This window comes from Homo sapiens, chromosome 15 (assembly GCF_000001405.40).
Source record: "Homo sapiens chromosome 15, GRCh38.p14 Primary Assembly".
Lineage (NCBI taxonomy): Eukaryota > Metazoa > Chordata > Mammalia > Primates > Hominidae > Homo > Homo sapiens.
This window is the reverse complement of record NC_000015.10, coordinates 43,394,252-43,417,695: the sequence shown is the minus strand read 5'-3', so window position 1 is coordinate 43,417,695 and position 23,444 is coordinate 43,394,252. Positions and strand designations below refer to the sequence as shown.

At 42.9% G+C, this 23,444-nt stretch overlaps 2 protein-coding genes across 19 annotated transcripts in view; one reads left to right on the top strand and one right to left on the bottom strand.

Moving 5' to 3' along the window:
• Positions 1 to 14,635, top strand: part of TP53BP1 (tumor protein p53 binding protein 1) — a 107,580-nt gene extending 92,945 nt beyond the window's left edge. For 6 of the 10 annotated variants that reach the window (NM_005657.4, NM_001411050.1, XM_047432994.1 and 3 more), the window contains 7 exons: positions 1,280 to 1,471; positions 1,887 to 2,102; positions 4,362 to 4,577; positions 7,955 to 8,049; positions 8,600 to 8,799; positions 9,608 to 9,753; positions 10,126 to 14,635. In NM_005657.4, coding sequence (NP_005648.1) covers positions 1,280 to 1,471; positions 1,887 to 2,102; positions 4,362 to 4,577; positions 7,955 to 8,049; positions 8,600 to 8,799; positions 9,608 to 9,753; positions 10,126 to 10,313 — 1,253 coding nt within the window. In that variant the 3' untranslated portion in view covers positions 10,314 to 14,635. Of the gene's footprint in view, positions 1 to 1,279; positions 1,472 to 1,886; positions 2,103 to 4,361; positions 4,578 to 7,169; positions 7,338 to 7,954; positions 8,050 to 8,599; positions 8,800 to 9,607 lie in introns of those variants that run through there. The other 4 variants (XM_047432998.1, XM_047432997.1, NM_001141979.3 and 1 more) reach the window with 3 other exon arrangements.
• The window catches only part of TUBGCP4 (tubulin gamma complex component 4), a 38,671-nt gene continuing 23,151 nt past the window's right edge, over positions 7,925 to 23,444 (bottom strand). For 2 of the 9 annotated variants that reach the window (NM_001286414.3, XM_011521455.3), the window contains 9 exons: positions 22,539 to 22,589; positions 22,008 to 22,113; positions 20,375 to 20,482; positions 19,517 to 19,658; positions 17,475 to 17,652; positions 15,846 to 15,980; positions 13,897 to 14,013; positions 13,144 to 13,283; positions 7,925 to 12,494 (listed from right to left, as the gene is read on the bottom strand). In NM_001286414.3, the coding sequence (NP_001273343.1) occupies positions 12,482 to 12,494; positions 13,144 to 13,283; positions 13,897 to 14,013; positions 15,846 to 15,980; positions 17,475 to 17,652; positions 19,517 to 19,658; positions 20,375 to 20,482; positions 22,008 to 22,113; positions 22,539 to 22,589 (990 nt within the window). In that variant the 3' untranslated portion in view covers positions 7,925 to 12,481. Of the gene's footprint in view, positions 12,495 to 13,143; positions 13,284 to 13,896; positions 14,014 to 15,845; positions 15,981 to 17,474; positions 17,653 to 18,521; positions 18,585 to 19,516; positions 19,659 to 20,374; positions 20,483 to 22,007; positions 22,114 to 22,538; positions 22,590 to 23,444 lie in introns of those variants that run through there. The other 7 variants (NM_014444.5, XM_011521454.4, XM_017022078.3 and 4 more) reach the window with 7 other exon arrangements.

Genomic DNA, 23,444 nt, shown 5'->3' with positions numbered 1-23,444 from the left:
CAAATGCATTCGTTCTTCTTTCAGGTGTAAAGCTACTCTTAGGGGTTCATATTTGGCCTTTTAAAGACGGAGTTCTGTAACAAGAGTGAACTGTGGCATCAAGGTGTGGGGATTCTGTGTCCCATTTCTTGAGGCTGTTTGCTCATGTCAACACTAGACTACTTCTAGTTCTAGTAGCTCTTCATTAGTGTGAAGTATATTGTTGGCCTTGGGCTTCTTTGTGTTTTTGAGGGAGTCTTTGTGACTTAGTTTGGGGATAGAGATTTAAGCTAGGAGATGAACAAGTAAGGGAAAAGGGAGTGATTCCACAGGATAGATAGAGAACCAAGGCTTGCTTTCTCTGTGTTATTTTCCTTGGGTGGGGTAGGCTCTGGGTTTCTTTTAGCTCTTCATTCAAGCATAGGCTAATGGGTGAGAAGAAATTGGACCCTTCTGTTTATAGGAATGAAAAAATATTCATAGTAATGCCTTGTTTTTGTATTGTATATGTGTGTGGGGGTGGGGGGGTGTGTATCTATAGCTATAGTATGTGTGTGTGTTGTAAATTGTTTATTCATTGATAGGAAGAAGTGTTCTTTTTCACAGGCTTAGTAATGGGTCCTGCCCAAGATCACACAGCTTGGTGGCAGCAGAATTAGGCCTAGGCTCAGTTCTCCTGAATTATAGCTTAGTTTCCTTTTACATCCCACATTTTGTTCCTTTTAACATAAAGGCCTTATCAGGTTTTGAATCAGAGCAGGAAAGTAGATAATAGAGAGGAAGATTAGGTAGGAGAGGCAGGATCTGTTTTTTCCTTTCTTTGCTCTCTAATTTTGCTACACACACAGAGAGAAAACACACACATGCTGTCTCTCTTAGAATGATGTCATTTTTCACCTACAGCTTAACTCAAGACTTACTACTCAGCCTCCCAGGGAACCAAGAAGGAAATGTTTAGAAGTTATAATGGAATTGTTAGGAAACCACATGCCATTTCACTTCACGGAAATCATTTGAACCACCAGCAATCCACAATGGCTGTCTTTGGGAAGCTTTATTTTATAACTAAAGGCTACCTTCTGTCAAGAAACTTTCCTTGTCCTAATCCCAGTGTAGTAGCTACATATATCCTAAGTGTTACTGTTTGGGATTGACAACTGGAATTTTGTTAAGTCCTAACTTCAGTCCACTGTTGGATCTCTAAATTCCCTAACTCAGGCCTGCTTTACAGAGCCCTTGTGAGAGGGTGCTAAGGAGCCTAAGACAACAGCAAGCTTCTTTTATGCTTTCCACCCCCCAGGAGTGGTGAAAGGACATAGGAAGGAGTCTGGGGAACTGTACTACAGCATTGAAAAAGAAGGCCAAAGAAAGTGGTATAAGCGAATGGCTGTCATCCTGTCCTTGGAGCAAGGAAACAGACTGAGAGAGCAGTATGGGCTTGGCCCCTATGAAGCAGTAACACCTCTTACAAAGGCAGCAGATATCAGCTTAGGTAAGACTTTTGCTTCCTGAACAGCTGCTTTTGGGCTCCTGTTCTGCTTACAGTGGGAGGAGATTCTGGACCTGTCAGTAATGTTTCCCTAACTTTTATTATTCCTATGTGTGGCTTCTCAGATGGTGGATGAGCTGTCATTTTCTAGAGCTGCTGCCTTACCTGTTTCCTTCTTAGTACCAAACAGAAAGTCCTTAGGGTTTTTCTGGCCTCCTCAGTTCTATAGGGGACTAAACACATTTCAGTCATGGCAAAGACTAGATAAAAAATATGGCCTTAAAAAGAAGCTTCTTGGCCTCATGGGAAGTGGGGGAAGGAACACTGTGGTGTCTGAATCAGGGTCTGCCCAGTTTCTTGGAGTTCAGGGCCTCATACCATAGAGTTTGACCAACCTGTTTGGCTTATCCTGCCATAGACAATTTGGTGGAAGGGAAGCGGAAACGGCGCAGTAACGTCAGCTCCCCAGCCACCCCTACTGCCTCCAGTAGCAGCAGCACAACCCCTACCCGAAAGATCACAGAAAGTCCTCGTGCCTCCATGGGAGTTCTCTCAGGCAAAAGAAAACTTATCACTTCTGAAGAGGAACGGTCCCCTGCCAAGCGAGGTCGCAAGTCTGCCACAGTAAAACCTGGTAAGTGCTCCTTTTTGCCTCATTCTTCCTTCAGACCATGGCAGAATGCAGGGTCAGCTGCTGGAAAAATGGAGCTTAATATGTGGCAGTGGCCCTTCTGTCCTGCTATAAAGTCGGGGTCCTGCCCAAGCCCACAGGTGATATTCAGGGACAGCTCACTGTATCCCTCCTCCCCCATCCCCTACAGACTCTAGTGCGGGTAGATAGCAAGGCCAGAATTAGCTGAGTGTGGTGGCGGGCGCCTGTAATACCAGCTACTGGGGAGGCTGAGGTGGGAGAATCGCTTGAACCCAGGAAGGCGGAGGTTGCAGTGAGCCGAAATTGCACCATTGCACTCCAGCCTGGGCAACAAGAGTGAAACTTGGTCTCCAGAAAAAAAAAAAAAAAAAAAGAAGGCCAGGACTTGATCACACCATTCTTTGACTACTGTGTGGGTTCTAGGAGGGAAAGGAGAAGTATTGAAATGTAAGCAGATTCAAAATAGGTGTAATTTCTCTTTGCCTGCACCATCTTCTTCCTGGAAATTCTGCTCCCCTCTCTCTTGTGCTTAGGCCCTCTAGCTTTCTCAGACTTCCTATTGAAACATGGCTGGGCATGGTGGCTCACACCTGTAGTCCCAGCACTTTGGGAGGCCGAGGTTGGGGGATCACTTGAGGTCAGGAGTTCAAGACCAGCCTGGCCAACCTGGCAAAACCCCATCTCTACTAAAAATACAAAAAAAGTAGCTATGAGTGGTGGCACATGCCTGTAGTCCCAGCTTCTCCGGAGGCTGAGGCAGTAGAATCATTTGAACCTGGGAGGCAGAGGTTGCAGTGAGCCGAGATCACGCCACGGCACTCCATCCTGGGTGACAGAGTGAGACTCCATCAAAAAAAAAAAAAGTCATATTTCAGTATGCTCTTCCCTCTCCCCATTATCCCCGAAACAACCCCTTTCCAGTCCCTAGCATTCAATAATTAAGAAAGGAGTTCATTCCATCTGTTGTTCATTGAGTCCCTACTGTGACCCAGGCCCAGCTGCTATGGGTTCAGGAGATTACAGAGGTAAAATCAGTCTATTCCCTTTTGGAACTTTCTCAGGCTAGCAAACTGATGAAACTCCATTGATTGTTACATTGTCCTGGCACCAGAGCTTCTTTTGTTTCCTATGTATTTGAATTGTGTCATCTCCTTATCTACCCAACTGCTGCTGTGTTTCAGGGTATTTAAAAACAATAGTTCATTGAATATTTACTGTATGAGGCATAGCACTCAGTACTTCACACATAATACCTCACATACAATCCTTATGAAGTATAGGTGCTAGAAGGAGTTTTCCAGTTGAAGACTTTGAGGCACAGAAAAGTTGGCTAACTTTCCCAAGATGACAAAGTAAGCCAGGATTCAAACTTTGGTGGTCTTCACTTCTAATTCCAGCCTCGTTCATATAACGTCATATTGCCTCTGAGACTGTTTTCTTGCTCCTGGTTTTATTTTAGGGAGGCATGCATGACCTGTCTGTCATCTTAGCCTCCTAATGAACCTACGATTCAGCTTCTCCAGGTCAGGTATCTGTTTTTTTTCTCAAGGACTTATTGGGGGCACTCTTGGCATGGGTGTTCTGGCTGGCTGGTTCACTTACTTACCCAGGTGTTGAAAACTAATTCAGTTGAGGCAGGCTATTTTGATGTGGCACCATCTATGTGTAAAAACACTTTATTACCAAGTATTCTCTGCACCATTCTGGTGACGGTCAGTGATGGGGTGGGAGGATCTATCTACAAGGGGCATTTCTTGATAATAAAAAAGTGTTGGGTTTTTTTTTTTTTCCAAAGGCTGCTTCAAAATATCTCATACCCTGGGGGAAATCAGAGCACGGGACAGAGAAAGTGGGCTGAAGATTTCCAAACATTTTTCACTCTCACCTACTATTTCTTTGTATTAGAACCACCTCTTTCTTCAGATGACCTCAGAAGTATTTGGTGTGGCTATATGAAAACAATACTTGGTTAATTTTCATTTATGAAAACACTGTATACATTATCATGACTGTGTAAAATTTAAATATGTAAATTTCTCTTTGTTGTAAATTTTATCCTAGGCTGTCGGCCATTTAGAATGGTTGGCCATTGGAATGGTCTTTGGTTTCTGGCTCAGATAAGTTCATCAGGACAGTGCCTGCCCATCAGGTCATGCTTGGTGCTGGGGCCTTTTGGTGTTAAGGCTTTTGCTGAGGCAATGGTGTGTATCCCTCTAGTAACTGTGCCCCTGTCCTTCCCAGGTGCAGTAGGGGCAGGAGAGTTTGTGAGCCCCTGTGAGAGTGGAGACAACACCGGTGAACCCTCTGCCCTGGAAGAGCAGAGAGGGCCTTTGCCTCTCAACAAGACCTTGTTTCTGGGCTACGCATTTCTCCTTACCATGGCCACAACCAGTGACAAGTTGGCCAGCCGCTCCAAACTGCCAGATGGTCCTACAGGAAGCAGTGAAGAAGAGGAGGGTAAGGCCTTAGGAAGCCCTGGGAGCTCTGACACATAGGCACTTCTTTCTTTTCCAGTCACTTATGAGCTGGTGGTCCCCCTGTTGTATGTAGAGGAGGCAAGGCAAGTAGCAACTGGGATCTTGGTCACAGAAATTACTCTGTATCCTGCTTTTTAACAGTTTCTAGACTGTTTTCACAAAATTCCTCTCAGTGAGTGGTTCCTGAAAACAATCCTGTGAGGCAGATGGGAGATAGATCTTATCTATTTTATGGATGAGGAAACAAGTTTGGAGAGGTTAAAGGTTAAATAATTGTGTTTTTTTTGTCCACAATAATGACAAACCTGTGACTAGAGCTCTGTCATTTTAGCCTACTGCAACCATCCAAGTCAATCAGGTCTGAATGCCCTGCCATCTTCCCCATTTGCGTTCTATGGGCATCTGCTAGAGCAAACCCATGTGGAGGGTAAGGTTCATTCTCCTGAGGTCTAAGACTGGGACTGTGGGGTGCCTGGTTCCTCAGGGTGATTGCAAAGAAACAGCTTCTAGGCCTTTTCAACTCTTATACCTCTCTTTAACCTTAAATTAAATCTGTACATTGCATTTATTTCTGTGTTGTCTGTTAGTTTTTGAAGGAAGGCTGCAGTGGGTAGAGGTCTGAAAAATGAGTGATCTAGGAGAGGGAATGAGCAGATATAAATGTATACACTGTAAATGTGACTGACAGCAGTATCTGAATGTGTCTGTAAAGGCTAAAGGTCCAGATGGAATGATGTTGTACAAGTTAGAGTTCTGACTAATGTTGTCTTGCAAGAGGGAATTGAATTAGGCAACATGGTTGTCATAATTTGCACCACTGGACATCTGTGAGGGTTGGCATTTCAGGTGTGTGGATGACTCTTTCCTAATTAACCAAAACTATATCTCACCGACTGCAGCCATGTGTAGATATGTACAAGGACATGGAAGGGATGATCAGGGGCAGGCTTTGGTTTGGGAGAGTTGGGCTGTGGGAGTGAGTAGATGTGGTGTGGTGGGATTTCAAGGTCCAGTGTTTGCAACACCTAGCTTGTCAAACAATCAGATAGGCACAGTGGGAATAAGGTATTTGAAGAGTTTCCTGGACAGGAAAATTGGGAGTCTTTTGAGGATTCTGCATAGAGGTGTGTCATGGCATTAAAACAGTGGTCATGGTCATGGGTTTTTTTTTCCCCCTTTTACAATATTGCTGGACTTGAAACCAGGACTTCACAAGGCAGCTGTATAGATGTTTTGTTTGTTGCTTGGTTCAGCATAGTCAAGAAAGCTGACTGGTATGAGATGCAGGCTGTCCAGTTTCATTAAAATCCGTGTGCCTGCGTGAGATGTAATAAAACTGTACTCATAAAAATAAAATGAGGCATTTGGACAGTGTTTTTGAAGGGATCTTCAGGTTTCTGATAGACAGTGTGGTTATGGTGAATGTGTCTTTATGTTGGTGCCTTCATCCTTGGGCGCAGCCCAACAGTACCAGAATCCTTGATATTTTCAGTGTATGAGAATGCTTGGGGGTTTCTCAATCTCAAGAAGGCGGAAGACATCTAATACTAAAACAATCCTCTACAGAATTATAGTTTTTAAGAAACTGTTTGGTAGATGTTACAGATAAATAGGAATTCTTAGACACCAGCTTACAACAGGAGCTCAGTAAAATATTTAAATTCATCTTATGAGATATATTTATTAATAAGTTTGGTACCTAATCTTGTTGGGTGGCACACCATCAGAGATCCTTCAGACACAGGGATTGACCCTGGAGTTGGGTTTATTTAGTACCTTCATACTTGATTTAGATGGCACGATTAACAACCTATTCATTTTAGCATCTGGCTGGGCAGGGCACTTATACCTCAAAAATGAAGAAATTGGAACCCAGACTATTTGAGAAAAATTAGAGAAACACACTGCCTAGACAGGGTAATACTTCATTAGACAAATTAAGGAAATATAATTAGGGATTAAAATCTAAGTAGACCAGTCCTGGATTAAGCAGACATAAAGTAGAAGTCTTGAGAAAAATACAGGACTGTAAGGGGTGTTGGCAGTGACTCAGCAGTAGAATCTTGGTGCTGAAGATTGTGACATGCTATATTGAGATAGCAAAAGGGTGCTATGACAAAGCTGAGAAATAGCCCTGCTGTATTCTGAGTTTCTTATAACCATTTAGAGTTTCTGTTTTGGGATTTCAATTTGAGAAGAATGTGGAGAATGCTGAATCAAGAAAAGAGCAGTAAAAGTGAATAGGTTGGCTAGTCAGAACTAAGTGGAGATGGAGACCCCTGACCTGGGGCCTCGGCGGTGCCTGAGCTCCTCCAGCAGACAACGAGGGCACTGAAGGGGGAGCCGTCATAAGGGATCTGCTCTAAGTTTTACTACTGGGTGTGAAGGGGAAGGGGAGTGGTACCGGCATTGAACCTTATGCACTGGATTGGGTTGGGTTTTAAAATTTGTGATAAAAATTTCAGTTAATTAGAACTTAATTTCCCAAAACTCCTAATTAACTAAAATCTCTAATGTCTTGCTTTTCTTTTCTTTTTTTTTTTAATGTGTTATTTATATATGAGAGGAGCAGATGACAAGAAAACAAGCTCAAATTAGATATTTGGTCAAAAGAAGCAATTTCTAATTGCCTAGGGTCATTACAGCTTCAGCCTCATCTCTCATATCTTCTACTTCACTCTCAAGACTATAGAGCAGTCATTGGTGTTCAGTGTCCTGAGGTACTTCAAGATCATCAAAGGTAGATAGTTTTCAATAAAAAGGTTGAAACAGGATTTTCTAACCTTCACTTAATCAGTTAAAATTTTAAAACCATATTTCATTGAGCATTCTGGTTTATTAAAGTTTTAGTTGTACAAGGGGGTAAAAAGGCTGATGCAGTGGTTTATAATAAACCCTTCATATATAACTTATAAAGTGTTCATCAGCTATTCATCTCCACAGAAGGCAGAACTAGAGGAAATGGGGTTTAGTTTTCAACAGGAAAGATTTAGGATAGACACAAAGGGAACTTCCTGATGGTAAGGGTTATTCAAGTTGGAATATGTCACTGTGGGAAATGATTGTGTTCCCATCCCTATCAACGGTCCGGTGCAGGAACCTTTGATGTTTTTAGGTCTAGGACCTACCTCCAGTCCTCATCTTCCCATTCCCTCCTACTCTTGTCCCTTCTTTTGGCAGCATTTTAAAGGCCTCAAGATCTCTTTCTGACCCATGGGGAAGCCCTTGGCCTGTCTTTGGGGACACACTGTTGTGGATAGCTGGGGAGTGGAAAAGGGGGCAGTAAGAAGGAGGCATAAGGTAGCAAATAAGAAAACCACTCAGTAATTATTATCTTGGTTTTTTTTTTTAATATAGAATTTTTGGAAATTCCTCCTTTCAACAAGCAGTATACAGAATCCCAGCTTCGAGCAGGAGCTGGCTATATCCTTGAAGATTTCAATGAAGCCCAGGTGAGGAGTTTCTTTGTGTAACCTAATATAGTGGCAATGATAAGAGCCAACTTGCTGTGTTGAGAAGAGGCCTGGGAGGGGTTGGGGAACCTGGATAAAGTAGCCAGAGATTTCAGGAACTGAGAAACTGCCAAAATGTTTTTGCATGAAATAGAATTTTTGTTGTGTATAGGGAAGAGAAGGTAGGACCTTGGGTTAGTTAATGGCTATGGTTCTGTTGCTGGGACAAAAGAAGATTGATGTTTATGTTTAGTAGTAGAAACCCCTATTAGGGTTGCTGATTTTTAGCCTGAAAGGCTGAGTTCATAGGTTTTGGTTGTCCGTTGAGGATTTAGGTCCTCAGTATGCTGCAGGTGAGGCAGAGAGAACATCTATGGAAATTACTTGGGCCTTCCAGTGAGAAGAGTGGCCTTGGGCAGGATAGACTAAATCACATTTTGGGTAGTAGTTGGGAGTCTTCAGATCTGCTCTTCATGGCTCATTATGGCTGCTGCTTAGGAGCTTTCCACAGAAGTCACCAAACCCATTGGCTCTGCTTCTTTTCTTGCAGTGTAACACAGCTTACCAGTGTCTTCTAATTGCGGATCAGCATTGTCGAACCCGGAAGTACTTCCTGTGCCTTGCCAGTGGGATTCCTTGTGTGTCTCATGTCTGGGTCCATGATAGTTGCCATGCCAACCAGCTCCAGAACTACCGTAATTATCTGTTGCCAGCTGGGTACAGCCTTGAGGAGCAAAGAATTCTGGACTGGTAAGTATTTGAAGCCCATCCAGAATTGTATAGGCAGGAGGACAGCAAGCTTTGGAGGGAAGAGAATCTAGGTGAGAGAGTAAAGCTTTCTAGAAATTGGAATGTCTGTGGGATAAATTTGAGTGGGTTTGAAATGACTTCAGGAGTTTATCTAGTTTATTTCCCTAGGTTACATTGGCTAGGAACCTTTTGCAAATGTGTGAAGATTTGTATATAGGTTCAATATTCTCAACCTGTAAAGTCAGAGAACTAAGTTTTAAGCAAGCATTAAAAATATATAGGCTCAGGAGCATGATTTGGATTATTCTCAGCCCCAGAACAAACATGGAAATTAGAAAGCCAGGAATGCAAGGAATACAGATCATTCATAGAAAGAAGGAAGAGAAGGGGGACCCTAATATAGGGCTTAGTTTTTTAAGATGAAGTCTTGCTCTGTCACCTAGGCTGGAGTACAGTGGCGCAGTGACGACTTACTGCAGCCTCAACCTCCCAGGCTGAAGTGATCCCCCTACCTCAGCCTCCCAAGCTGCTGGGACTACAGGCACTCGCCACCACACCCAGCTAATTTTTTTGTTGTCTTTTGTAGAGATGGGGTCTCACCACATTGCCCAGGCTGGTCTCGAACTCCCAGGCCCAAGAGATCCAACCACGACAGCCTCCCAAAGTGCTGGGATTACAGGCTTGAGACACTATGTCTGATGGGGCATTTATTTTTGAAAGCATTCAGATGTACATGAGTCCCTTTGCAGAAAGGCAGTTTGTTGGATATTACTTGTCATGCTAAGGTCCTTTCCTGTCTCCTTCATAGGCAACCCCGTGAAAATCCTTTCCAGAATCTGAAGGTACTCTTGGTATCAGACCAACAGCAGAACTTCCTGGAGCTCTGGTCTGAGATCCTCATGACTGGTGGTGCAGCCTCTGTGAAGCAGCACCATTCAAGTGCCCATAACAAAGGTACCTGAAAGAGTGTGTGTAGTGTCTTTGTTCCAGGGATCTCCTTAGACCTGTAGGTGTTAGGCCTTGTGGTCCAAGGCTCAGGCCTAATAGGTTGACCGTATCCATGTTTCTTAGAGAAGAAAAGTACCACCTTCAAGAGGTGAGTCAACATAAGTGAAGCACTGGACGTATATTTGTTAAATATTTCTACAAGGTCAGCACATAGTGATTATAACTCTGCCTTTGGTCATGATCAGTAGCAGTGTGTTTGACATAATAGGGCTTTGGTTTGTGCAGAGTGGGATGTATTGGTTAGAATCAAATCTCTCTTTCTAATGGAGGGCTAAGTTGAGTGTCCTTTCCTTCTTCACTTTCCCTTGCTCCTTGCAGATATTGCTTTAGGGGTATTTGATGTGGTGGTGACGGACCCCTCATGCCCAGCCTCGGTGCTGAAGTGTGCTGAAGCATTGCAGCTGCCTGTGGTGTCACAAGAGTGGGTGATCCAGTGCCTCATTGTTGGGGAGAGAATTGGATTCAAGCAGCATCCAAAATATAAACACGATTATGTTTCTCACTAAAGATACTTGGTCTTACTGGTTTTATTCCCTGCTATCGTGGAGATTGTGTTTTAACCAGGTTTTAAATGTGTCTTGTGTGTAACTGGATTCCTTGCATGGATCTTGTATATAGTTTTATTTGCTGAACTTTTATGATAAAATAAATGTTGAATCTCTTTGGTTGTAGTAACTGGGATTTCTTCATCTGTTTTTTTGAGCTTAATCTCAGAACAAATGACAAGACATAGTACTTTCTCTGAGTCTTTCAACAGGCTTATTCACTTACGGAGGACAGCTGGCCAAGGAAATTGAAAAGTTAAGAGTGAACTTTATTCTGTGGCATCATTCCCAAAAGGTTATTCCAGGGTGTCTAAAATGCTATGCTTGCAGAAACTCAGTTTAAGGTAGGTGAAGGCCCAGATTAACAGTTGTGCCAAAAGTTGAGTGGAATTGGGCACAGCTCTGTTTCCTGACAGTTAAAAAAGACCTCATGCTCTCTCTCTGAGCTGAGATCACAGCTCACCTGTGGGTACTCCCCAACTCTTAGAGCTAAAGGGAGAACGAAAGGACCAACTGCCATGAAGGGACAGTGACCATAAGCTTGATGGAATGACCTTCCGTAAGATAAACATGGGAAGCACAAGTGAGAACACCTGGAAATGTTACACGTTCTAGTCAAAGACCCAATATTATTATTATTATTATTGTCACAATAGCTGGAAGCAGTTCCTTCCCTTCCTCTGGCATCACTGATCCCTGCATGGCTTCTCATTCTCTAAAGCAGGGGTCAACAAGGTTTTTTTCTGTAAAGGGTCAAAGAGTAAATATTTCAGGCTTTGTGGGCCATTTGATCCATCACAACTACTCGCCTTTGCTGTGAGGGCATGAAAGCAACCATAGACAATGAGTAAACAAATGGGCATGGCTGTGTTTCAGTAAAACTGTACAAAAACAGACAGCAGGCCATAGTTTGCCAGCTCCTGCTCCAGAGACAGCAGTAGAAAGGGTGATCTTTAGTTGATAATAGCAGGGAATAAGTTGTCAGAGCTTCCCAGTGTGTGTAGAATATGTAGTGATGAAAACCAGATGCAGTGACTATAACCTGATGCCAGAACACTGCATTCTTTTTCAGTTTGGAGGGCGTTGTTCAGTGAATATTTCTTTTTACTTACACTGATATGAATATTGATTACCAGTGATGGCTGGGCCATATTAAGATAACTTCAACCCCTATGGTTTGTGTAAGATGGGTAATTGGGCCTGCAATCTTCAGTATTTAAAAATCTAACAACTTGATCTCAATTTTTTCTTAAGGACCTTTTTCTTGGAGAATAATACTTTTTTTTTTTTTTTTTTTTTTTTTGAGACGGAATTTCGCTCTTGTTGCCCGGGCTGGAATGCAATGGCACAATCTCAGCTCACTGCAGCGTCTGCTTCCCAGGTTCAAGCAATTCTCCTGTCTCAGCCTCCTGAGTAGCTGGGATTACAGGCACATGCCACCACACCTGGCTAATTTTTGTATTTTTAGTAGAATCGAGGTTTCATCATGTTGGTCAGGCTGGTCTCAAACTCCTGACTTCAGGTGATCCGCCCGCCTCGGCCTCCCAAAGTGCTGGGATTACAGGTGTGAGCCACCATGCCCGGCCTAAGAAATACTTTTAAGTATATTTTCATTAGCTAGAATTGCCCAATCTGTGTAGGTATAAATTACTTGGTATAGGGAGAGAGAAAGCCTATCTTACCTGTTGCTTTCTTACTTGGTGGTAACATCCAGCAGTTAGTCTATTTATAAACATAATTACTTTTTCACATATGAACCATAAAATATTTAACTTTCTGCTCTATATTGTTTGTTTACCGCTGTATCTCCCACAGCTTGAACAGTACCAAGGTACGTAGTAGGTGCTCAATAAATGACTATTGAATAAATGAACATATCCAACAAATGTTCTCAATGTAAAGGATCAGAGATGCCACATGTTCTCCTTGATGGGAGAGACCCTTCCACATGGGAATGATGGGAAGGAGTTGTACTCCTGGATGTTCAGTAACTGCTTCTAGGAGAAAAGGTAGAGTCCTATCACTAAGCCGCAGATATTTATTTGTGTGTGGCTAGAATGGGATGTTTTGAATCTTCTGTTACAACCTTGGGAACGTGGCTGTTATTTCAATTTATGAGCCAGAAATTTTCACATCCCGAAACTACAAAAGAGAAAAAGAGCCTTATTAAGTGTCATGCTTTCCCAAGACTACCTTCAAAGAAATATGAATCAGGATAACCTGTGATCTAAATAATGTCATCTTAAAACTGAAGAGTTTCTTTTGACTCTTCTGCTACAATAGCTTAGAAAAAAATCTGCTTGCAGACATTTTAGAGAGAAAGGACAATGAAGTGATTTTCTGAATGGGAATGACAGACCTCTGGGAAGCCAGCTACCACTGAATCTCGGTATCAGTTTTTTTTAAAGTTTAGAGTTAGAAGGGGTGGTCGCCTCCTTTCACAGATGCGGAAGCTAGGGACCAGCAAGGCGGGGTGCCCACGGCTGCACAGCTAGTTCATATCAGAATTGGGAGTGGAAGGCCCACTGCCTCCCAGCATAGCAATACATAACCTAGCAAAGGACTTAACACCTATCTCACTGTCAGGTTTTTTAGTATTTTATGATGATGATGACTTCTACTAGAAAATAACCTCCATTAAAATTATTAAAGATGGTCACACCTCTATCTCTAAGCCTTACTTATAAAATGAGGGTATTTGGACTAAAGTCTTCTTCCAGTTCTAGAATTCTACAACTCATTAAAAAGCCACCTTAAAAAGTCTACTGAGTTACCCAAGGGTTGCTCCTACCTGCCCAGAGTTCCACCAGCCTGGGTATAGTATTTGTTATAATCTAGTCGTAACAGTAGTTGAGCCAAATCTGAGTTGATCTGATGATTCCGAACACTGGAGAGAATCTTGAACAGGAGTGAAGACTGGCGGCTAAAGCCCTGCAGAGAGAAGGACTCAGCTGTCATTCCACTTCAGCTCACCAACTCTCCATATGGAGGATGGGGGCGGAGGGAGGAGTTTCTTGGAAAAGCCTTGTTCAAAATTCTACAGAACCACCTGGCCTTCCCACATTCCTATTTCTATTAGTTCCTAAAATGACTTGTACCAAATCCATACATGCATGACTTCCTATGAAAGTACTCTTTCATCAGTAGGAATTTAGTAGCTGGTTTCCAGTTAATGTATTTTGTCAAGTACTGGGGTTGGGGAGAACCCGTTTTGATTACAAGCAGATAATTATCTCAGTGAGATGGGGGTTAGTTCAAGGAAGTAAGGAGGGGGGAGGATGTGAGGAAGTTAGAACAACCCAATGCTTATTTGATGGGCTGAATAAACTATTCAGGACTGAACTATTTTTGAGCACTGTGAGGTGGCACAGTATTACCTGCTTCAAAATCAACTGATACCAACATTTTTATCTTTGTATCTTATCTCTGTACGTGTGTGTATTGAGGAAATGCTTTACTGACTCAGAGGAAAGATCATGAATTCTCCATTGGCAAAACCACCTCTGTCCTTTCGGCAAGGCTGCATACTTCCAGGCAGACGCACCTTCACGAGAATGCTCAGCTGGGCGGCTCCACGCTCATCCAGTGGGCCTAGGTTCTGACTGACCAGCGAACAAAAACTGTGACAGAGATCTAGGATTTCATTCAGGCAGTGAAACACCTACCCGGGAAACAGAGTTGGCATTAGGAAAGGAAGGAAGGTACATCCATGAAGTTAAAGTGTTAGGAGAACAGTCTGATTAATAGCTGATCTAATTAATAGCTGACCTCCCAAATCTGACAGGATAGACACTGCCACGTGCAAGGCCTGCCAGCCCCTCAGACGCACAAAATGCGTAAAACAAATGCATCCTTTCCTGGCTAAGCGAGTATTACTCTCTTAGCCCTGCACCAAACCTCCAATCTAGCCACATTTAACTCTTCATTTCTTAGACCCGCAGAGTGTCTTCCTGCCTCTGAGCTGTGAGTGTTGTTCCCTTTGCCCGGGATGCTCTTGTTTTTAATACCAGTTCAAGTCCCACTCTCTCAGTGAAGCACTCCCTTCCCCACTATAGCCTTTAGTGAACCCTCGTTTCTTGCTTCTTTATTATCTGTACTGTTGTCCACTTGGCAATTGTTCAGGCCTCTGTGTTGTTACTGATTTTTGTATGTATATATATATATATGTCTTGTTTTTCCAACTAGATTGTGAGCTCCTTAAGGGCAGAGCCATGAATTATACCTCTTTGTATCCCCAGTGCCTTGCATACAGTAAGCACTCAATAAATATTTAATGATGATGACCTGCTCTGTTATTCTGCTTTTCCCTATGGATACATCTATGCCACATAAGGACAGCATCTACCCATCACAGTAGTTCTTGGTTGTTTTCAGCCAGCCCTCTGGAGTGGCATCTATTAATATATATCTTACTCTTCCTGGTACAGCAGAAATAGCCCTAAACACCAGAACATTTTTAAAAAGTCTGTAACAGCTGTGCTGTAGCACACTGAGGAATAACAACCAGCTCATGTCAGAGGAGGCATAACCGTTCCATTAGAAACTACCAGAGATCATTTCAGTCTTCCTGTTCTTTATCCTGGAATTGGAACTAGCTTGTGAGCTTTAAAAAAAATTAGTACCTGGGTCCCACTATTACAGGGATTCTAATTTAAGTGCTCTGTCACCTAGATTTTTTTAAAGAGTCCCGATGATTCCAATGTGCAGCCAAAGTTGAAAATAACTGCCACGAAGGAGACATATATGTACTTACAGAAACACATACATAGATCGAGAGAGAAACACTACTCTAGTTGTCTATGAAAAGAACTTTCAAATGACTGATCCATCCTGGTCCAAAAGATTTCTAAGAAGGTGAACTCTATATGCTTTTCATTGGTTTTTCTGTATTGTCAGCAAGAATTTTGAGTTTCTTTAACTCCTGAGGGTTTAAGCACATAATTCTTTCATCTGTAGCTGCTCACCACACCCTGTATTTCAGAAATTCAAAGACATCTTAGGTCCCGTTTAACATGCCTTTTTAGTTTTGCTTTACACATTCTTTTTTTTTTTATCTGCTCCCCCAAGACAGAATCTTGCTCTGTTGCCCAGGCTGGAGTGCAGTGGAATGATCTTGGCTCACTGCAACCTCTGCCTCCTGGGTCCAAGCAATTCTCCTGCCTCAGGCCTCCCAAGTAGCTGGGATTACAGGCGCGAGCCACCACACCTATTATTTTTTTTTTCTTCTGTATTTTTAGTAGAGACGGGTTTTCACCATGTTGGCCAGGCTGGTCTTGAACTCCTGACCTTGTGATCCGCCCACCTCGGCCTCCCAAAGTGCTGGGATTACAGGCATGAGCCACCATGCCCCGCCGCTTTACACATTCTTAAAAAATGTTTTAAAATGGACTTGAATAATTGCTTAATGATGGTTTCGTATCCTGTCAACTCAAACTGCCTAAGGGAATGGTCAGTGGTAGAAGCAGTCTGAGGAAACCAATGAGCCTTACTTACAGGTTTCAATAGGATAAAGGATTGAGCCAGCAAATTGCTCAGGAAGTGGTCATGAGCCAATCGGATGCTTTCAAAGTCTCGGGTAGAATTGATCTGATGAAGCAGCTGGGAGAACTGAGACTCCAACACATCTACCTGATAGACATTACAAAAAATTTTAGCACTTTGCATATTCTAAGCACTCGAAGACATTAAGATGCCTGACAGATTGAAATGAAAATGCTTTGCCTCCACTCATCTTCCTTCTAACCAAGTCACATTAAGGCTGACCAAAGACACCCTTATATTGCCCAGCCTTGTAGGAAGTTATTTGCATAATTCTGAACCCCCTCCCTCCAACGTCCTGGCTGACCACTCTCCCCTGCCCCATCCTTTTCTCTTTTTCCTTTTTTTTTTTTTGAGACGGAGTCTTGCTCTGCCACCCAGGCTGGAGTGCAGTGGTGCGATCCTGGCTCACTGCAACTTCCACATACCAGGGTTCAAGCAATTCTCCTGCCTCAGCCTCCTGAGTAGCTAAGATTACAGGTGCCCGCTACCACGCATGGCTAATTTTTGTATTTTTAGTAGAGAAGGGGTTTCACTATGTTGGCCAGGTTGGTCTCGAACTCCTGACCTCAGGTGATCTGTTTGGCTCAGCCTCCCAAAGTGCTGGGATTACAGGTGTGAGCCACTGCGCCCAGCCTCCCCTGCCCCATCCTAATCCACTCATGGCCACATTCCGTCTACTGACTGACTTGGTCACCTACAGGATTCCAGAAGTTATAGCAAACAATAAAAATAAGGGGCAAGTCAACAATAAATAATAGATTGTTGATGAGGATTCTTTAAAATGCCTTTAAGAGGCTGGTGTGGCGGTGGTTCATGCCTATAATCCCAGCACTTTGGGAGGCAAAGGCAGGAGGATCATTTGAAGCCTGGAGTTTTTTTTTTTTGGAGACGGAGTCTCACTCTGTTGCCCAGGCTGGAGTGCAATGGCATGATCTTGGCTCACTGCAACCTCCACCTCCCAGGTTCAAGCGATTCTCCTGCCTCAGCCTCCCAGGTAGCTGGGACTACAAACAGGCGCCACCACGCTTGGCTAATTTTTTTGTATTTTTAGTAGAGATGGTGTTTCACCATGCTGGCCAGGCTGGTCTCAAACTCCTGACCTCAAGTGATCCGCCCATCTCAGCCTCCCAAAGTGCTGAGATTACAGACGTGACCCATGACACCTCGCTGAAGCCAGGAGTTTGAGACCAGCCTGGGCAACAAAGTGAGAATCCATCTCTACAAAAAATAAAAACAAACCAGCTGGGTGTGGTGGCATGTATCTGTAGTCATAGCTACTTGAGAGGCTGAGGCAGGGGGATCACTTGAGTCCAGGAGCTTGAGGCTTCAGTGAGCTATGACTGTACCACTGCATTCCAGCCTGGGAAACAGAGAAAGACCCTGTCTCTAAAAAATAATAAAATAAAATAAAATAAAATGCTTTTTTTATTTTAAGAAACATGCTTGGTGATATAACTCCTGAATTTTCCCAAACCCCACCATTTTATCAAATAGAAACTTGTAGTCCCTATTCAATACTCCCTGCCAACCTCCTAGACGTTTTTCCGTACCCCTTCCTTCTACTCATCTCTTAGCACAGACCTGGAGATAGTACTGAAGATTATCCACCAAAAATGCCATGTGATTTCTTAGGCGCCACTTGATTGCATCAGTCTGGTTCGACTTGAGGTGCTTGCGCTGCATTTGTAGGGCCCAGCAGTGCTGCAGCTCAGCTTGCACCCGGCGCACACTCAGTAAGTACTTAAAAACAACATTGTACCTAGGACAGAAATAACAGGATATTCAAGACAAAAATTTCATCCCCTGCACTTCCCCCACACGACAGACTCTAGGACTTTGTGCCACCCACTCCTCTCACAAACAGGCAGTAAGGAAAGAGTGACTAGAGATGTAGACAAATAAATTATAATTTATTTATACAATGGAATATTATATAGCAGTCGAATGAACTCCAGCTATACAACAAGATGAGACCCCATCTCTGCATTTTTTAGATAACTTGGGAAATTTCAGTGTGGACTGGATATTAGATTATACCCTTATAATCTTTTTGAATGGTTGACTCGTGTTGCTTCTCATATTCAAAAACATGATTTTTGAATGAAAAAGGTAAATCACAAAAGATTACATATAGCCTTTTCTATAATTCTTAAAGCAGGCCAGGTGTGTTGGCTCATGCCTATAATCCCGGCACTTTGGGAGGCCAAGGCAGGAGAATTACTTAAGCTCAGGGGTTCAAGACCAGCCTGAGCAACATAGTGAGATGCCATCTCTACTAAAAATTAAAAAAATTAGCCAGGTGTGGTGGTGCCCACCTATAGTCCCAGCTGCTTGGGAGGTTGAGGCAGGAAGATTGCTTGAACCCAGGGTTCAAGGCTGCAGTGTGCTGCCTGGGCAACAGAGCAAGACCCTGTCTCAAAAAAAATAGTGTGTTATGAATCAAGGATTATGATGAATCTGATTCTCTGTCGCTGAGAGCCGAAAGAAAGTAAAATAGCTTCCCTCTGAGACAGACTCCCGCTCCTGCCTCCCTGCAAGTTCAGGTGCTAACTGCTTAATGCTGAGACTCCATACTTAAAAGACACACGGGAAGAACAGCTGATTCCTGGTAGAATAGGATTTATTTACCTGTTTGTAGGTAGGCTTGCAGAAGACAGTCCCATTCTGTTTGGTTTTTAAAATTGTCTATTTCTAAAGGAACAAACATAATGAAATGATAGACCTTGTTTGGAAACTGATTTGAACAAACCCAAACATAAAGATAATTTTTAGATAACTGGAGAAATTTCAATGTAGACTGGATATTATAAGGGATTATAAGGGACTACTGTTAATTTTACTGGATGTGATAATGGCATTGTAGTTCTGTTGAAATATGCCTTTTTCAATTGTTTATTGGCAGAATGAAATGACTGTGATTTGCTTTATACAGCTCTAGCAAAAAAGTGGGGGAGGGACAGATAAAAGTAGTATAATGTTGCTGGTTACTGAAGGTGAATAATGAGGACACAGGATTTTGTCTTCTCCCCAGTGGCTAACATCCATAGCAGACATGTAGGCTGGAGGACTTTCCCAAGTAAATCAACAAAAAATATTACAAAAGTGAGGGAGAGACCTTGTCAGGTGTGATGGAATCATCAAGGGCCATTATCTCGACATGGTGCCTAAGACCTTATTTTCCAGAGCTCACAAACTGGCAGCCAACAAACTGCTTATTATTTGGCAATTTAAAAAAATGATGGTTTGAAGTAGATATGCCCTCCCACTGATTCCAACTCCGTGTCTCATATCTGTGGCTTCACTTATTAATGTGATCAGTCTAGCCCCTGAAGGCATAAGGGTTTACAATTTTTGATTTACAGATTGTTAAAAACTAGTTGGGTGGCTCTCTTGCTCCCATTAATTTTTTTTTTTTTTTTTATGAGATGGGGGTCTTACTATGTTGCCCAGGATGGATTTGAAATCCTGGGCTTAAGGGATCCTCCTGCTCAGGCTCTGGACTAGCTGGGATTACAGGTGTGTGCCACCACACCTTGCTTTCCCACTAATTCTGTTCCTGCTAGTTTCTTCCCTTACAAGTAAGGTGGGTCATATTTACCTGTGAGAAACTCAGAAATACTCACTTTTCCAGGACAGCTGGGGTGAAGAGAATATGTAGTGGCCACTGTACTTTGTAGGAAAGACCTAGGGCTGCCCAGCCAGATGCAGGGGCTTCCCGGGGAGAAGTTTCCCGAGAAGGCCCTTCTCTTGCCTGAGTAGCATCTGCTGTGATAAAAGAAAAGAAAAAAAGAAAAGATAACAACTTGGTTAATCTAGAACCAGAGACTCAACAAGTGAATAACATTAATGAAACTAGAGCTCACAGGAGTTCAAGACCAGTCTGGGCAATACAGTGAAACCCCATCTCTACTAAAAATACATAAATTAGCTGGGCATGGTGGCACGCACTTGTAGTCCCAGCTACTCAGGGGGGCTGAGGCATGAGAATTGTTTGAACCTGGAAGGCAGAGGTTGTAGTGAGCCAAGATTGTGCCACTGCACTCCAGCCTGGTCAACAGAGTGAGACTCTGTCTCCAAAAGAAAAGCAACAGAGCTCAATGGAGTCTGCGATGTCAGAAGCTTACAGGGGACACTAAGAAGGGGGCAAGGAAACTTCTATGTGAGGTTCTCTTGGGAGGTCTTCTAGAGATTCTTTCCTCAGCCTTAAAATCTGGGGGCTGGAAATAAACAGGCACCATTCCAGCAGCATGACAAAAAAAAACACCAAAAAAACCAACTCCCCCAAAACATGGCCTGGGCATCTCACTTAGCCTCTCTGGACTTCTGGACTTTCCTTTTCTTCTCTATAGAATTATAGTACTGTACTAGCTGATTTCTAAGATCCAAAATCATATGGTTTCTGTGGCGGGGGATGGAAGCAGAGATGGGAAAATGGATGATGACCAGCAGGAACTCTAAGGTGGCAGGGAGGAATGGCAAACCTTTGTGCTCCTTTCCGTGATACTCGATTGTCAAGTGCAACAGAGGGAGAAGGTTGTCATCATCTAGCAATACCTTGTGTGCTGACTGTTGAAAGGCCACATTCACATCTGCAAGAAAGAACACGCAGGCTGACAGGGACGCTTGGCTACATAACAAACCCAGACTCCTCCAGCTTTCCACTTCTCCCCCAACATGCTCAATGCTAACAGCAGGACACAGTGGACATCTGTTTCATTTGTCTAACACCCATCCATCCTTCTCTTCTTGCTGACAAACTGCCTCTTGATTTTCCTTGGAGAATCATCCCTATTCAGTACAGTTCACATATTTCCAGTGGGTTAGTGCTAGACAACACCTGATTCTAGGGGTAGCTGGGTGATGTAGGCATGATCAAATGGAATGTAATACTCTACTTTGTTATGCTATATTGTTTAGGGATATTAACATGACCAAGCCAGGCCAATCCAGAGGCTCTATTCAGACTCTAAAAGAGTCCAGCTCTTTTTTCAAGATAAACAGGGGCTTAGTAGGATGTAAACTTGGCTAGAGACTATCTTGCTACCATACAGAGCAGGCCTGTCTGAGAAGAAAGAGGTAGAAGATGGAAAGAGACCAAGTCCTAAAGGTGCCACACCTGTCACTGGATCAAACTTAGCCGAAAACCATCATACGTCTGAGCTTTTCAGTTATGAGAATCAATACATTATTTCTTTCCTTTTGCTTTGCTTAAGTGAGTTTGAATTGGATTTTCTGATATTTGCAACCACAAGTACTTATATTTGTACTATATAAGTACAGTGGACATCTATGGTTTTACTGAGTTAGAAAAATGATCAGCCTGTGTGTATGTATTTTCTTTCTCACAGTTTCTTTTTTTGGATCCTTACCCAACTCTACTCATGCAGTATGAATGGGAATGGACATCAGTGGGTCAAGGGGTAGACTCTTCACTGAACTAGGCATAGCCTAGTGTCTGACCTCTTTGACTGATACAGGGATAGGGATGTGATGTGGGCTGGGCCAATCAAAACCTAGATAATTCCCTAGAATTCTCTAACTTGCAACAAGAGGGACTGGGTTCAGTTCCTTCCGTAGAGGACACTGTGAGGCATATTCCTGGGAGATGCTGTGATCATGTTTCCAGAAGGTCATCAAAGTGTTCACAAGAGACACAAACAAGATGTGGTGAATGAGTGAATGAGAGAGAGAGAGAATGAATCGAAGTTTTCCCACTGGGGTTTTAGATACAATAGCAAATCCATTTCCCTTTCCTAACTAGGCTAGTTCGGGTGAGTTTCCATCATTCACACCTAAAGAATTCTACTGCAAAACTACAAGCAGCACTAAGTCCCAATATGGCCCATAAAGTATATATGGCTATAATCCAATGAGAAAAAATACCTGGTTTGAAGGCCTGAACCAACTCTTCCAGGAAGGGTCACAGGCCAAGACACTGTTCCCAATGACCCCAGCATGAAGCCTACCTGCAAGAGCCTTCCATCTCTGGAAGCCACTGCTCTGTAACTCATCAGGCTGCTCTTATGTGGAGCAGGCCTTAAAAGGGTCAGCAGCAGCCAAGAAATACCCTGCAATGTCAATCAGTTGATCATTCTCAGGGCCACTGACAATTACCATGCTCAGTTACTGCAGTGGGTGGTGTTTTCAACATGTGTTGAGCTGTGTCAATGAAGGCCTGAAACAGTTCTCCACGTCCCAGAAGGTAAAAGTCTTTAATGATCTGAGGAAAGAATTTCAATTTACAATTCAGTAAAGCAAGGCAGGAGCTCCTCACTGTCCTGAGGAATTACATGTATACAGTAATTTCTAATTTCATCAATTTGAGCCCAAGCTACAAAAGATACAGGCATTTGGCATTTCAAAGAGGCATACTTAGTTCCGCATAGCAGGATGACTGGTGTGTATTTGGCATTATTTATTCAATAGCAACATAATTATATATATATGCCAGAAAAAAGTACACTCCCAAATCTTTGTATTATCGTAGATTTGTGGCATTAGGTATAGTTTGCTCACTTGGATAAGAACAAATGAGTTGACTCTGGAAGTCTGGGTATAGGCAACCAGTGCTCTCAGGAAACATCAGAGAATGCAAGTCACTGCCTACCAGCATCACCGTAAGAATTACAACAGCTAAGCCATTACCTTCAGCTGACCCAGTAAATCGGATTCTTCTACCATCAACTTCCAGAGATGCTATGAAAACAACCAACAAAACAGGGACAAATTTCATTACAGTGAGAACTCCTGCAAAGAATGGTTCCATACAAATCCAGCAATGTATTAAAAGAAGACTATACCTTGCCCCACATAGAAAAATTTACTCAAAACAATCAATGTATTATTCCATTCTCACACTGCTGTAAAGAATACCTTAGACTGGGTAATTAATGAAGAAAAGAGGTTGAGTTGCTCACAGTTCTGCAGGCTGCACAGGAAGCACGGTGGCTTCAGCTTGGCTTCTAGGGAGGCCTCAGGAAACTTACAATCATGGCAGAAGGCAAAGGCGTCTCACATGGCAGGAATAGGAGCAAGAGAGAGCAAGGGGGAGGTGCTGCACACATTTAAACAGCCAGATCTCATGAGAACTTACTATCGTGAGGACAGTACCAAGGGGAATGGCGCTAAACCATTCATGAGAAACTGCTCCACGAACCAATCATCTCCCACCACGCCCCTACAACTCAAGAAATTTTGGCGGGGACACAGGTCCAAGCATATCAATCATAGACCTGGGTATAAAACTGAAAACTATAAAATTTCTGGAAGAAAAGAGAAGAGAAAATCTTAGTATCCTTGAGTTAGGCAGAGTTCTTAGACATAACACCAAAAACATGATCCATAAAAGAAAAACAAAAGGTAAACTGGATTTCATCAAAATTAACAACTTCTGGGACAAGTCATAAATTGTGAGAAAATAGCCCAGGCGTGGTGGCTCATGCCTGTAAATCCCAGGACTTAAGGAGGCTGAGGTGGGCGGATCACAAGGTTAGGAGTTCGAGACCATCCTGGCTAACACGCTGAAACCCCATTTCTACTAAAAGTACAAAA